General features: G+C 55.6%; 1 protein-coding gene across 1 annotated transcript, besides 6 other annotated features; it reads left to right on the forward strand.

The window, feature by feature from the left end:
• Window positions 2,074–2,249: a silencer, noted in NCBI's record as "fragment chr17:1167109-1167284 (GRCh37/hg19 assembly coordinates)". NCBI's record gives its function as "represses an EF-1alpha promoter that drives an FKBP-Casp9 reporter gene in an ReSE screen in K562 erythroleukemia cells {active_cell/tissue: K562}" and the evidence as "EXISTENCE:reporter gene assay evidence [ECO:0000049][PMID:32094911]".
• Window positions 5,894–6,697: an enhancer, noted in NCBI's record as "H3K27ac-H3K4me1 hESC enhancer chr17:1170929-1171732 (GRCh37/hg19 assembly coordinates)". NCBI's record gives its function as "activates a minimal SCP1, AML or CMV promoter by ChIP-STARR-seq in primed H9 embryonic stem cells {active_cell/tissue: H9 hESC(primed)}" and the evidence as "EXISTENCE:reporter gene assay evidence [ECO:0000049][PMID:30033119]".
• Window positions 5,894–6,788: a biological region, named in NCBI's record as "H3K27ac-H3K4me1 hESC enhancer GRCh37_chr17:1170929-1171732".
• Window positions 6,559–6,788: a silencer, noted in NCBI's record as "silent region_7950". NCBI's record gives its function as "represses an Ori minimal core promoter by ATAC-STARR-seq in GM12878 lymphoblastoid cells {active_cell/tissue: GM12878}" and the evidence as "EXISTENCE:reporter gene assay evidence [ECO:0000049][PMID:35858748]".
• Window positions 6,698–7,500: an enhancer, noted in NCBI's record as "H3K27ac-H3K4me1 hESC enhancer chr17:1171733-1172535 (GRCh37/hg19 assembly coordinates)". NCBI's record gives its function as "activates a minimal SCP1, AML or CMV promoter by ChIP-STARR-seq in naive H9 embryonic stem cells {active_cell/tissue: H9 hESC(naive)}" and the evidence as "EXISTENCE:reporter gene assay evidence [ECO:0000049][PMID:30033119]".
• Window positions 8,703–10,074, forward strand: BHLHA9 (basic helix-loop-helix family member a9). Its single transcript, NM_001164405.2, has one exon. The coding sequence runs from the start codon at window positions 8,823–8,825 to the stop codon at window positions 9,528–9,530; it is 708 nt and encodes a 235-aa protein (NP_001157877.1). The 5' UTR covers window positions 8,703–8,822; the 3' UTR covers window positions 9,531–10,074.
• Window positions 9,105–9,855: an enhancer, noted in NCBI's record as "H3K4me1 hESC enhancer chr17:1174140-1174890 (GRCh37/hg19 assembly coordinates)". NCBI's record gives its function as "activates a minimal SCP1, AML or CMV promoter by ChIP-STARR-seq in primed H9 embryonic stem cells {active_cell/tissue: H9 hESC(primed)}" and the evidence as "EXISTENCE:reporter gene assay evidence [ECO:0000049][PMID:30033119]".

Genomic DNA, 14,770 nt, shown 5'->3' on the forward strand with positions numbered 1-14,770 from the left:
GGCTTAAACATGAAGATTTATTTCCTGCTCATGGAATCATTCATGTGGTGTCTCTGGTCAGGTGGTATTCCTGGGCAGCAATCCCCCAGCCATGATTGAGGGCCCCAGACTTCTTCCTCTTGTACCTCTGCCGTCTTCAGCTTGTGGCCCCCATGGCTGGCCTAGGGGACCTGAGGCCAAGAGGACCGGGCATGGAGGCTGCAGAGGTTCGGGTGGGAAGTTCGTATGGGTGGGCCTGCAGGTGGCACGCATCAGTCCTGCTCACAGTTACCAGAGAACTCAGTCGACTGCAGGAAAGCCTGAACTGCTGCATTCATTACGTCTTGTGAAGAACAGGTGACCTCAAAACCGACTGCTTTAAGACAACCATAAACATGTGTTAGTTCAGTGTCTGTGAGTCAGGGTTTTAGGAGCGACCTTCCTGGGTGGTTCCCTTCTCCTCTTGTTCATGATGGAGGATGCACGTGAGTCCCAGAGCTCCTGCAGCCCTTTTGCCACTATGAGGGAAGCCACCTTGAGAAAGAAAATATGGGTCAGGCACGGTGGCTCACGCCTGTAATCCCAGCACTTTGGGAGGCCGAGGTGGGTGGATCACAAGGTCGGGAGTTCGAGACCAGCCTGGCCAACGTGGTAAAACCCCGTGTCTACTAAAAATACAAAAATTAGCCGGGTGTGGTGGCACATGCCTGTAATCCCAGCTACTTGGGAGGCTGAGGCAGGATAATTGCTTGAACCTGGGAGGCAGAAATTGCAGTGAGCTGAGATCTTGCCACCGCACTCCAGCCTGGGCGACAGCGAGACTCCGTCTCAGGGGGAAAAAAAAAAAGCAAGCAAGAAAATACGGAAAAAGGCCGGGTGCAGTGGCTCAAGCCTGTAATCCCAGCACTTTGGGAGGCCGAGGCGGGCAGATCACAAGGTCTGGAGATTGAGACCATCATGGCTAACATGGTGAAACCCCGTCTCTACTAAAAATATTTTTAAAAATTAGGCGGGGGTGGTGGCGGGCACCTGTAGTCCCAGCTACTCGGGAGGCTGAGGCAGGAGAATGTCGTGAACCCGGAAGGCGGAGCTTGCAGTGAGCTGAGATCGCGCCACTGCACTCCAGCCTGGGGGACAGAGCGAGACTCCGTCTCATAAAAAAAAAAAAAAAGAAAAGAAAATACGGAGAAGAGGTATGAAAGAATCACAGAAGAAGAGTTATAGACCAGGCGAAAGGATAATCAAATTCCTGTGGAAGTGTAAAGGGCCAAGAACACCCAACAGAATTCTGAAAATGAAAAACGAGACTGCAAGATTGCCCAGGCAGACAGGCATTACCCAGAAATGGTTGGAGGTGGCTTGGTAGATATGTGGCATTACACATCACTGGAGGCAGGGTGAACAGGTCACCAAAGGGAGCCGGAAAGATTGGTAACTGGGTTCCAAGGATGACAATAATAATTAAAGCAATAATAATAGCAGCAATAGGAATGTAGTAATGGATGCCATTTATTGACACCTACACAGTGTTAGAAATATACTTTTTTTTTTTTTTTTGAGGCAGGGTCTCGCTGTGACCCAGGCTGGAATGCAGTGGCTCAATCATGGCTCACTGAAGCCTCGACTTCTCGGGCTCTAGCTGGGATCACAGGCACGCACCACCATGCCCAGCTAATTTTTTTTTTTTTTTAGAGACGGGGTCTTGCTATGTTGCCCAGGCTGGTCTGAAACTCCTGGCCTGAAGCAATCCTCCTGCCTTGGCCTCCCAAAGTGCTGGGATGACAGGCAGGAGCCACCGCACCCAACCAGAAGTCTACTGTTGGTTTCTCTCGCTGTTTCCTCACACCAAATCCACAAGGGAAGTATTATCTTTTTTCGTTTTTGGTGTTTTTTTTTGAGATGGAGTCTCTGTCACTCAGGCTGGAGTGCAGTGGTGAGATTTCGGCTCACTGCAACCTCTGCCTCCCAGGTTCAAGCAGGTAATGCCTGTCTGCCTCAGTCTCCCAAGTTGCTGGGATTACAGGTGCACGCCACCAGGCCCGGCTAATTTTTGTATTTTTAGTAGAGACGAGGTTTCACCTTGTTGGCCAGCCTGGTCTTGAACTCCTGACTTCAGGTGATCTGCCCTCCTCAGCCTCCCAAAGTGCTGGGATTACAGGCGTGAGCCACCGCGCCCGGCTAATTTTTGTATTTTTAGTAGAGACGGGGTTTCACCATGTTGGCCTGACTGGTCTTGAACTCCTGACTTCAGGTGATCTGCCCTCCTCGGCCTCCCGAAGTGCTGGGATTACAGGCGTGAGCCACCGTGCCCGGCCTATAATTCTTCTCAAACAGATGAGAAAGCCCAACCTCAGGAGGGTAGCAAAGATCTCTTGAGCCCACACATGGCTCTCAGCCTCCTGGGCAGCAGGTAGGAACCCTGTTTTTCCTCCCAATAACAGAGCTCTTTCCTGAGAGTTCCTGGCCTTCAGCAGCCCTGGGCCCGGGAGGCAGAGCTCGCTGTCCACACCAAGCCAGCACCCACCTACCCACCACCACCCGCCCTCCCCACACCGCCCTGGACCTGGAATTCCTACTCCACACTGACTCTGGGACGGAGCTAAGCCTGATTAGACCCCAGCTAAAAGCACAGAGGCCTCTTTGTCATTTCTTTAACGAGAAGCCAATCGCCAGGTCATTAGTGGGTGGAGGTGATGAGCAGTTTGGTACTGGGGTGGGAGGGAGGAGAATGCTCTTGTTTATCTGGATGATTTACAGCTGCAGTGGCCAAGCTGGCTGGGGAAAGGAGCAGAGGGTAGGAAGAAGAGAAAGTTAATATTCACAGAGTTCCTTCTAGGAGCCAGGCCCTGTACTGACAGCGTAAAAACACGGTCTTTCATTTAATCCTACAACAAACCTGACAAAGCAGTACCACTGCATACCTCATTTTACAGACAAGGAAACAGAGGCTCAAACAAGTGAAGCATCAGCCAGGCGCGGTGGCTCACGCCTGTAATCCCAGCACTTTGGGAGGCCGAGGCAGGCGGATCACCTGATGAAGCAGTACCATTGCATACCTCATTTTACAGACAAGGAAACGGAGGCTCAAACAAGTGAAGCATCAGCCAGGTGCGGTGGCTCACGCCTGTAATCCCAGCACTTGATGGGAGGCTGAGGCAGGCGGATCACCTGAGGTCAGGAGTTTGAGACCAGCCTGCCCAACATGGTGAAACCCCCTCTCTACTAAAACTACAAAAATTAGCCAGGCATAGTGGCAAGCACCTATAATCCCAGCTACTTGGGAGGCTGAGGCGGGAGAATCGCTTGAACCTGAAAGGTCGTGGTTGCAGTGAGCCAAGATCATGCCACCGCACTCCAGCCTGGGCGACAGAGCAAGACTCCGCCTCAAAAAAAAAAAAAAAAAGAAAAGAAGTGAAGCATCTTGGCCCAGGCTACGCAGCTCATAAATGATAATCTTATTCCAGAGCCTACACAACACCCTGCTGTTCAGTGTTACAGGCAGGGCTGGGGTGAGTGCAGGTGAAGGACCAAGCAATATTCCAGATTAGAGCAAGAAAGAACAAGTTGTCGGCAGGTGCTGGATGGAGGGACGCTGCTCTGTGGGCTGGGAGTGGCAGCAGTGGAGAGGACCAAATGTGTGCATGAGCTTGTTGGAAAGAAACCCTGGGGTACTGAGTATATTCTCCAGAAAAAGGATAATAATAACAGTAACTAATTATTAACTTTTTTCTTTTTTGAGATGGAGTCTTGCTCTGTCACCCAGGCTGGACTGCAGTGGTGTAATCTCGGCTCACTGTGACCTCCGCCTCCCCAGTTCAAGAGATTCTCCTACCTCAGCCTCCCCAGCAGCTGACACTATAGGTGCCCGCCACCACACCCGGCTAATTTTTATATTTTTAGTAGAGACGGGATTTCACCATATTGGTCAGGCTGGTCTCGAACTCCTGACCTCAGGTGATCTGCCCGCCTCAGCCTCCCACGGTGCTATTACAGGCATGAGCCACCGCACCCAGCCAATAATAACTTTTTTTTTTTTTTTTTTGAGACGGAGTCTTGCTCTGTCGCCCAGGCTGGAATGCAGTGGCGCGATCTTGGCTCACTGCAAGCTCCGCCTCCTGGGTTCATGCCATTCTCCTGCCTCAGCCTCCCAAGTAGCTGGGACTACAGACGCCTGCCACAATGCCCGGCTAATTTTTTGTATGTTCAGTAAAGACGGGGTTTCACCACGTTAGCCAGGATGGTCTCGATCTCCTGACCTCAGGTGATCTGCCCGCCTCGGCCTCCCACAGTGCTGGGATTACAGGCGTGAGCCACCGCGCCCAGCTGATCATAACTAATTATTAAGTGCCCACAATGTGCCAGGTACCGTGCTAAGGGCTTTCTGTGCATGGTGTCATTTAATGCTCACAGCTCTCTTATGTGGCAGTTACCAATTCATTTTACAGATGAAGAAACAGAGTGAGGGTCAGAGAGGTTAAGTCACCTGCTGCACCTCTTGAAGTTGGGATTGGCTTGGGAGTCAGCGAGGTTGACCAGGATGACTGCTTATCTCTACGCTGTGTTGTCAGGATTCTTGGTTGGAAACAACCAAATCCAACTTGAGCAGAAGGAAGAGGCAGGTATTGGCTCTGAGGTAGCTCACAAAATCAACGGAAAAAAAGTCTAGGGCACAGTCACTCACGCCTGTAATCCCAGCACTTTGGGAGGCCGAGGCAGGCCAATCGCTTGAGGTCAGGAGTTCAAGACCAGCCTGGCCAACATGGTGAAACCCTGTCTCTAATAAAAATACAAAAAATTAGCCGGGCGTAGTGGCGGGCGCCTGTAATCCCAGCTACTCAGGAGGCTGAGGCAGGAGAATTGCTTGCCCAGGGACACGGACGTTGCAGTGGGCCGAGATCGCGCCACTGCACTGCGGCCTGCACAACAGAGTGAGACTCCGTCTCAAAAAGAAAAAAGAAAAGAGTCTGGGAAATTAAGGTTGGGAAACTCGTAAGAATTATAGGAAACTGGGCAGCTAGACCCACGGCCAAGCCAGGAACCTCCTCTAGATGCCAGTGTAGGACGTGGAGGGCCACAGGCCCCGCACTGGCACCGTGATTTCTCCACTGTTACCTGTTTGTTTCTTTGGGACACCACTCCAGATTCAAGTCAGGCAGCCAAGTGCCTGGACTCGCATCTGTCCCAGTTACCAGAAATCTCTGCCACCCAGAGCCCCACCATGGAGGCTCCCTTCTCCCCAGATAGGAAGGCTGTTCAAATGCCACATAGCAAACAGTGATAACAAAAACATCCACCACGGCACACGCCTGTAGTCCCAGCTACTCAGGAGGCTGAGGCAGGAGAATCGCTTAAACCCGGGAGGTGGAGGTTGCAGTGAGCCGAGATTTCGCCACTGCACTCCAGCCTGGGAGACAGAACGAGACTCCACCTCAAAAAAAAAAAAAAAATAACCGAAGTCGTGGGTGCCCTGGGTCTGAGGTGACCATATGCCACTGGCTTTCTTGTCCCCATGTCCATGGCTGGACCTTTGTAGAGAGAGTCTCTGAACTAAGGCTTCTGCTCTTAAAGGAGAATATGGAGACGACACCCCTTTTTGTCATCTGCTTTATCCCATTGGCACCCCCACATGTCAATTCTATTTTCCAAACAGGTGTTGACTCCGTGCCCTTCTCTCACCACTGCCTGCATAGCTCAGGCCCCCCCTTCCTCCAGGATCCTTGCTTCCTAAGTGGAATTTGTCTTAACATCCATTCTCCACACTGCTCAAAGAGCTCTAGCTGTAATTCAAATACGGCTGACATTCCTCTGCTTAATAACCTTTTGCAGTACCCAGCTGCCTACAGGGCGAAAAGCAAGCTTTTGGGACGACGCCTGGTGATCTCCAGCCTTATCTCCCGTCACTCCCTGGCCTCACATTTGGTGGTTTGGCAAAGTCACTTTCCTGTATTTTTCGCATCATCCTGTGACCGCTTACACTTCCAGGGCCTGGCACCTGCTGTTCCCTCTACCTCCTGTCTGCTTGGCAAACTGCTATTCATCCTTTGAAATCCAGTTCAGGGCCGGGAGCGGTGGCTCACGTCTGTAATCCCAGCACTTTGGGTGGCCGAGGCGGGCGGATCACTTAAGGCCGGGAGTTCGAGACCATCCTGGCCAACATGGTGAAACCCCGTCTCTGGTAAAAATACAAAAAATAGCTGGGCACGATGGTGGGTGCCTGTAATCCCACGTACTCGGGAGGCTGAGGCAGGAGAATCGCTTGAACCCGAGAGGTGGAGCTTGCAGTGAGCCAAGATTGCGACACTGCGGTCCAGCCTGGGCGACAGAGCGAGACTCGGTCTCAAAAAAAAAAAAGTTTTTGTTGAATGAGCGCATGAAGGGGCAGAGGCTGCAATTGCGCCCCTACGTCTTCCACACCGGGCGTGTGGGTTGAAACGCCAGGGTCTCGCCTGGGAGAGAAGGAGGCTCAGGGCTTCCCGGGACCCGCTCTCCGGAGGGGGTGGGGTCGAGGCCCCCGTGAGCGGCTCCCGGACTTTCTCTCCCGGGCGGGCGTTCCGTCCTCCCTCGGGGAGCGGCGCCGGAACTTCCGGAGGAAGAGCCGGAACTTTTGAAGCCCAGGCCCCGCCCGGCGCTAATAGGCACCTACGCGGCCGCCGGCGGAACCGCCAGACCCTAAATCACGGCGCCCCGCCCGCCCCCGCCCGCCCCCGCCCGGGCCGAGAACTCGCGCTCCCGGGCACGGGCAGGTGCCGCGGAAATGCCGGGCCCGCCGCTCGCTTTGAAGTCGGCCGCGCCCCGCAGCGCCCGGGAGTCCCGGGTTCCAGGAGGGGGCGCCTCTCCCGGGTCCTCGGGGTTCTTCGCGTGGGGCCGTTTCCTGACGTGCGCGGGGAAGGGCGGGAGCGGCCGGGAAACGCCACCGGGAAACGCGCGCTGCGTGGGCATTTTCTTTGCTTTTACTGACCTTTTTTTTTTTTCTGGTTTATTTTTTGTTGTTTTTGAGACGGAGTCTCGCTCTGTCCGCCAGGCTGGAGCGCAGTGGCGGGATCTCGGCTCACTGCAACCTCCGCCTCCCTGGTTCAAGCGATTCTCTGCCTCAGCCTCCCGAGTAGCTGGGACTACAGGCTCCCCGCCACCACGTCCAGCTAATTGTTGTATTTTAGTAGAGACGGGGTTTCACCGTGTTGGCCAGGCTGGTCTTGAACTCCTGACCTCAAGTGATCCGCCCACCTCGGCCTCCCAAAGTACTGGGATTACAGGCGTGAGCCACTGCGCCCGGCCTCTAGCTGTTTTATAATTCGACATATATTGCAGATTTGGGGGACATAGAACCTGGGAAATACAGATGTCCTTAGGATGCTTTCATCCTAGTGGGCAAGGCAGACAATCACAGAAGTAAATACATACACTCTGCTTCCTAATGCCTTATTATTTTCTTTTATGGAGAAATTCACAGTTTGAAATAATGGGGTTATTGGCAATGCTCTTTTGGCGAGATGGATGTGAACCACACACCCATTCCAATGCCATAGGCCTTGGCATCTTAGAGGCATTTGGATTGTGACTGGGAATGAGTGGCCTTCAGGCGCTCCAAATAACTCAGCTGTGGATGCCGGAAATTCTACTGGGGGTCTTTCTTTGGGAATAAACATCATCTTTTTTCTGAGACCCTCTTTCAAATGCAAATCCCTGGGGGAAGAGGACAGAGGCTGCTCATTGAGTTCATAACCTGGCAGGGCTGTGTCACAAGATGGGGCTGCCCGAGGGCTCTGGACCCCAAAGATGCCCCTGATGTGGACCCAGGGCTGCAAAGGGATCTTCCCCGTCACCCTCTGCTGCTGACTCATCCCAGCTCTGCCTGCAGAAGGGGAGTCAAAGGGCAGTGGAGGGAGAGTCAGGCCCAACCAAAACCCGAACCCCAATTGCAGCCAGCCGCCCTCCATAGCTGAAAAAGCCGGAAGCTCTGGGTCAGCTTTACCTGCAGGGCCCTGCGCCTCCCATATGAGTCCTGCCGGGACACTCATGCTTTTCCTCAGTGACATCTCTGTGGTTGCCCACGGGACTTGACAAGAACTTTCAAGGTTTTGTTGTTGTTTTTGTTGTTGTTTTTCTGAGACGGAGTCTCGTTCTGTCTCCCAGGCTAGAGTGCAGTGGTGCGATCTCGGCTCACTGCAACCTCCAGCTCCTGGGCTCAAGCCATTCTCCTGCCTCAGCCTCCCGAGTAACTGGGATTACAGGCGCCTGCCACCACGCCCGGCTAATTTTTGTGTTTTTAGTAGACGGGGTTTTATATACTCTGTTGGCCAGGCTGGTCTCGAACTCCTGAACTCAAGTGATCCGCCCGCCTCGGCCTCCCAAACTGCTGGGATGACAGGCGTGAGCCCCAGTGCCCGGCCCTCTGCCTCTTTTTATTCCTATCAGCTCTCCTGCTAGAAGCCAAACTTAGCACCTTATCTGGGAATGGGGAGGAAGAATGTGGAACCCAGACACCCCACAGCGGCCCCAGAGCTAGGCAGGGCAAGGTCCCCGGGGCAGCGTGGCCGGGCTGCCCGTCTGGTCCCCGCTTACAAGAACCTGCAAGCTTCCCTCCTTGCTTTCCTTCTTCCCCTCGGTTCCTCCCCCGCCGACCTACCTGGAGGCCGATAATAAAGCAGGAGGAGGGAGATGGATGGACGGGAGGGCGGGGCGCCGCGTGGTGCCATAAAGCCCAGCTGGAAGGGGCCTGTCTCGGGAGTGTCCAGCCCCAGGAGCCGGGGACCGTCCGCGTCGCGAGCCGGGCCAAGGCAGTGGGCAGAGGGCAGAGGGCAGAGGGCCGGGGCTGGGGCAGAGGGCGAGTGCCCGGGAAGGCCATGCTGCGGGGCGCGCCAGGACTAGGCCTCACGGCGCGGAAGGGGGCCGAGGACTCTGCGGAGGACTTGGGGGGCCCCTGCCCCGAGCCCGGGGGCGATTCGGGGGTGCTGGGGGCGAACGGCGCTTCCTGCAGCCGGGGCGAGGCGGAGGAGCCGGCGGGCAGGAGGCGCGCGCGGCCGGTGCGGTCCAAGGCGCGGCGCATGGCCGCCAACGTGCGGGAGCGCAAGCGCATCCTAGACTACAACGAGGCCTTCAACGCGCTGCGCCGGGCGCTGCGGCACGACCTGGGCGGCAAGAGGCTCTCCAAGATCGCCACGCTGCGCAGGGCCATCCACCGCATCGCCGCGCTCTCCCTGGTCCTGCGCGCCAGCCCCGCGCCCCGCGGGCCCTGCGGACACCTGGAGTGCCACGGCCCGGCCGCGCGCGGGGACACCGGGGACACAGGCGCCAGCCCCCCGCCGCCTGCAGGGCCCAGCCTCGCGCGCCCAGACGCCGCCCGCCCCTCGGTGCCGTCCGCGCCCCGCTGCGCCTCGTGCCCCCCGCACGCGCCCCTGGCACGGCCCAGTGCGGTGGCCGAGGGGCCGGGCCTAGCACAGGCCTCCGGGGGAAGCTGGCGCCGCTGTCCGGGGGCTTCCTCTGCCGGGCCGCCTCCCTGGCCGCGGGGCTACCTGCGATCCGCCCCCGGGATGGGCCATCCGCGCTCCTGACCGGCCTCGAGGCACCGGCTGGGCTGCAGGGAGGCCGGGCTGGCAGCTGGACTATAAAACCCGGGACTGCAAAGGCGTCTTGGACAGAGCAGAACTGGACCGGCTGAGACCTGGCGTGGAAGAGAAGGAGCTCGCCAGAGAGAAGGAGCTCCGGGACCCGGGGTTGCGCCCCCACATCCCAGCCTGGGGCAGAGAGAAGGAGCTCCGGGGCCTGGGGCTGCGCCCCCACATCCCAGCCTAGGGAGGCAGTTGCCAGAAAGGCTCAGGATCCTGAACTCATCTTGGACTCGAACTCGTCTTGGAATGCCGCCTTCGCACTCCTGCGCCTCCGAGCCCTGTGTGTTCTCGATGCTTTTAGGAGAGTGAGGGCTTTGAGGCAGGAGGTGTGGGAGCGTGGGAATGCGGGTGGGGCCTGCTGTGGTCTCGTGGGCACATGAGTGCGGAGTCCCCTTCCCTGCCTGCGCTGCTGCCCAAGCCTGATCCGGGAGAGGCAGGATCCGGGAGAGGCAGGCAGGGGCAGCAGCCAAATAAAAGGAAAAACTCATTTCTCTCCGATACCACGACTCCAGTGGGCCCCGTGGCCCAGGGTGGCAGGAACGCCTGAGGGCTGGGGGCTCTCCTTGGAATGCTGGGCGGGGCCTAAGGCCCACAGGTAGGCGCCTGGGGGAACTCATTCATGGCAAGACCCCAGGTGTGGCTGAGCACTGTGGGAGCCCAAGGGGAGGAAAGAGACATCCAGAGACCCCTCCTCCCTGAGTCCCCTGGGGTGGAAGAGGATATCAGGAGAGGGGTCACGGGGCCTGGGAGTCTAAGGATGGGGTCAGCCCCGTCTCTGGACCTCCCTGCAGAGCTGCCTGGAAGCAGCCACAGTGAAGGGGGACTCTGGCCAGGTCTCAGGGAAGGAGGCCAAGGGCAGGGCTAGGATTGGGGGCCGGTAAGTCCTGCGTGCATGTACCCCGAGCGACAGGCAGGAAGAGCTCCCAGGGAACCGTGGGCCAGGGCCCCCATAATGAGGGGCCGACTTGGAACCCAGGAAGGATTCTGGGGAGGGGGTTGAGTGAGGGCAGAGGGGCCTCAGGCCAAGCCTGCTGAGCTAGTGAGAGACACAGCCAGCTGCCCCGAGAGTTTTGTCCAGAGAGCTGCCCTGCATCTGAGATGAGCTGGTGTCTGGCCCGGCTCAGGGTAAGGGTCTAATATTGCAAGGGCTGCCTGCTGGGCCAGAGCCCAGAGGTGCTGGGGGAGCGCTGGGCTCTTGCCAACAGGAGAGGGAAGGGTTCCCCACAGCTAGCTCAGAGTGCGGATCCCACAGAAGCTAGAGAAACGCCATTAGGCGTAAACCCAGGGAGAGTTTCCCAGAGCACGTGGGGTGAGGCTCACCTCTACAGTTAAAAGTGCCTCTGCTGTCTGCAAACCCCAGCCCTGGCTGGCACGCTGAGCATCCTGTCCCCAGCCACAGCCCTTAGGGTTCCCAATTGCGCAGGGAGGCTGTGACACAGACCACGGGAAGGCTTTGACTCTATTGAGAGCGGACGTGGGTCTAGCCAGGAGCAGCAACGCAGGAGATGCTGGCCCCAGCCCTGCCCGCCGAGCCCCACAGTGCCACGGGCTGCCAGTGAGAAGGAAAGAGCCAGGCCTGCCCTGGTCCAGCCCCTGCTCAGCCGCCTCTCTCAGCCTCTAGTTCCTCCCCTCTGACATGAATGATTCCAGGATGGCTGTGAGGATTGTAAGTGGTTCGTAATGGACCGTTTCTGGCAAACAGAAGGTGTTCACAAGCTGTCATGTTTGTGTACTATAAGGATCCTGTGAGAAACCAGCTTGGACAAGGCTGTAGCCATGTTTCAGCCTCAGGTATTTATCCTCTGGAAACACAATATAAGGACCAGCAAGTCCTACTTTGCTAAATTCCAGAACTGAAAGAAGTAAGGGGGCCGGGTGTGGTGGCTCGCGCCTGTCATCTCAGCACTGTGGGAGGCCCAGAGGCAGGTGGATCACCTGAGGTCAGGAGTTCAAGACCAGCCTGGCTAACATGGTGAAACCCCATCTCTACTAAAAATACAAAAATTAGCTGGGTGTGGTAGCGCATGCACCTGTAATCCCAGCTACTCGGGAGGATGAGGCATAAGAATTGCTTGATCCCGGGAGGCAGAGGTTGCAGTGAGCCGAGATCGCGCGCCACTGCACTCCAGCCTGGCCAAAAGAGCGAGATTCTCTCAAAAAAAAAAAAAAAGAAAAGAAAAAGAAAGAAAGGTTCTTCTCCCCCATCCTATCACACTCTCAGCCTGGAAATAGCAAGGACACCCCTGCAGGCAGAATCCTGATGCGGCAGCCCCATGAGTTCAGTGGCAGGGATGTCACAGTTCTGGACTTCCAGCTCCTCACTGACCAGCTGAGTGATCTTGGGCCAATCACCTGGCGGCTTTGAGCCTCGGTGTTCCCGTCTGTATAATGGGCTAGAATAAGTACTTACTTCATAGGCTGTTTTGGAGAGTAAATGGGAGGATGCATTTAAAGCACTAGCACAGTGCTTGGCCCACGTAAACGCTGACTGAGTGGAGGCTGTTCAGACATATTCAGTTCACAAGGTTGTTACAAGGAGAGAATGCATGGGAAGCTGTTTTATCAACTGTAAAGTCTGGGACACATTGGCTGCTAGCATGGTTTTTCCGGGGCTGTGTGTTTGGGTGCTGTATGTTTGCCTAGGATTCTGAGTTTGTGATATGTACATATTTTGTGTGTGCTCACATAGATGTGTGGCTGCGTGGATATTTGTGTGGGTATCTATATACGTATCAACCTAACAGGTGCTTCCTCATCTCTCTGATGCCGCAGGGGATCCTGGGCCTGTGTAGCCTCCGTTACGTGCTGTTGAGGTTTTCTGGAACCCTTGCTTGATTTTTCTGTCTGCTTCCCAAGATCGTGTCCATTCTCCAAGATGACTTATATGTGGTGAAGAAAAGATTTTATGATTATTAAAAAATGGTGGTTTCCACTGAGATCACATGGGTTTGCCCAAATATTGTTTAAAAGGCACAATGATAGGCATGAAATGCATAGAGAAAGGAAAATGCCAGGAAGGAAAGACGCACGTGTAAGACAGAGCCGCCAAGCCATGGCTCACTGTAGCCTTGACCTCCTGGGCTCACGTGATCCTCCCACCTCAGCCTTCCTAGTAGCTGAGAATACAGGCGTGTGCCACCATGCCGGCTAATTTTTGTATTTTTTGTAAAGATGGGGTTTTGCCATGTTGCCCAGGCTGGTCTCAAATACCTGGGGCTCAAGTGATCCTCCTGCCTTAGCCTCCCAAAGTGCTGGCATTACAGGTATGAGGGGCCTGGCCTTAATTTTCTTTCTTTTTTTCTTTCTTTTTTTTTTTTTTTTTTTTTTTTTTGAGATGGAGTCTCGCTCTGTCGCCCAGGCTGGAGTGCAGTGGCGTGATCTTGGCTCACTGCAAGCTCTGCCTCCCGGGTTCACGCCATTCTCCTGCCTCAGCCTCCCGAGTAGCTGGGACTACAGGCGCCCGCCACCACGCCCGGATCATTTTTTTTCATATTTTTAGTAGAGACGGGGTTTCACTGTGTTAGCCAGGATGGTCTCCCGACCTCGTGATCCGCCCGCCTCAGCCTCCCAAAGTGCTGGGATTACAGAAATGAGCCACCGCGCCCGGCCTAATTTTCATTAGAGTCTTCATCATTGTTATTTTAAAAGGTGAAAAATTAGGCCCAGCCAACATGGCGAAACCCCGTCTCCACTAAACAAACAAAAATTAGCCAGGCATGGTGGCAGGAGCCTGTAATCCCAGCTACTTGGGAGGAGGCTGAGGCAGGAGAATCACTTGAAACCCAGAAGGCGGAGGTTGCAGTGAGCCGAGATAGCACCACTGCACTCCAGCCTGGGCAACAGAGTGAGATTTGGTGTCAAAAAAAAAAAAGTGCAAGATCAGTCTCCTTAGGAAAACTCCCAAGAGGAGTAGGGATGTGTTTTGAGCAAGGACAGAAAGGAGACGCATCCCCAGTGGGTTCCTTCAGGTGGACCCGCCTCCCTGGATGTGAAATTCTGGGGTGCTTGCTGATGGGCGCACGATTACGTCAATGTTTATCACACTTTACAAAAGGACGTGCGTGTGTGTGTGTGAATGAGTGTGCGAGTGTGTGTGAGTGAATGTGTGTGGGGGTGACTGTGTGTGTGTGAGTGAGGGTGTGTGAATGTGTGTGGGGGTGAGTGTGTGAGTGTGTGTGTGAGGGTGTGTGAATGTGTGTGGGGGTGAGTGTGTGGGGGTGATTGTGAGGGTGTGTGAATGTGTGTGGGGTGAGTGTGTGAGTGTGTGAGTGTGTGGGGGGTGAGTGTATGAGTGTGTGTGAGTGTGTGGGGTGACTGAGTGTGAGGGTGTGTGAATGTGTGTGGGGCGAGTGTGTGAGTGTGTGAGTGTGTGTGAATGTGTGTGTGGGGGGGGTGTGTGGGTGAGTGTGTGAGTGTGTGTGAGTGTGTGGGGGTGACTGAGGGTGTGTGAATGTGTGTGGGGGTGAGTGTGTGAGTGTGTGAGTGTGTGAGAGTGTGTGGGGTGAGTGTATGAGAGTGTGAGAGTGTGTGTGTGAGAGAGAGTGTGTGAGAGTGTGTGTGTGTGTGTGTGTGTACACAGATGTCAGGAGGCTACTCTCTCACTCCTGGAGCAGAACTCCTGAACGGGGCCCAGGAAGGCTTCAGTGAGAAGAGGAATTGGCTCAATTGCACCTTCCCTGTCAGCCCCGTAGGGTTTCCTGACACCCAGTGAGACGCCAAGGATGAAAGGGCTGTGGGGCAGAGATATGAGGAGGATGTTTCTCCTTCCCCTGGGCTTCGGCTTGAACTTGCTTATGCTTCTGAGGTTTCTTCCCCGCCCCACCTCACCCCCCAAAGGACCCCTCATGGGCAGGTCCACTCCCCCGCACTGTTCACATCCCTGTCCTCTCTCAGCATCCCTCGCATGTAGGGTGCTCAAAGGTTGGGGTCACCGCCGGGAGCCCAAATCCGCTGCTGCCTCCCTCGGGCTCCCTCCACTCTGGTCATTCCCCTCATCACTACCTGCCACGAGGTGGCGCTGAGACTCCAGCATCCCACACGGGCGGAGCAAACGTGGGTCCCTAATTACCCCCGACCCCAGCCCGCCCAGGCAACCTCGTGCCAGGGACTACTCTGGGGACTTCTTAGTTTTTTCTTTCCTCCTTTTATTCCATCAAGAATTTAACATATAGCCGGGTGCGGTG

Source organism: Homo sapiens, chromosome 17 (genome assembly GCF_000001405.40).
Source record: "Homo sapiens chromosome 17, GRCh38.p14 Primary Assembly".
Taxonomy (NCBI): Eukaryota; Metazoa; Chordata; class Mammalia; order Primates; family Hominidae; genus Homo; species Homo sapiens.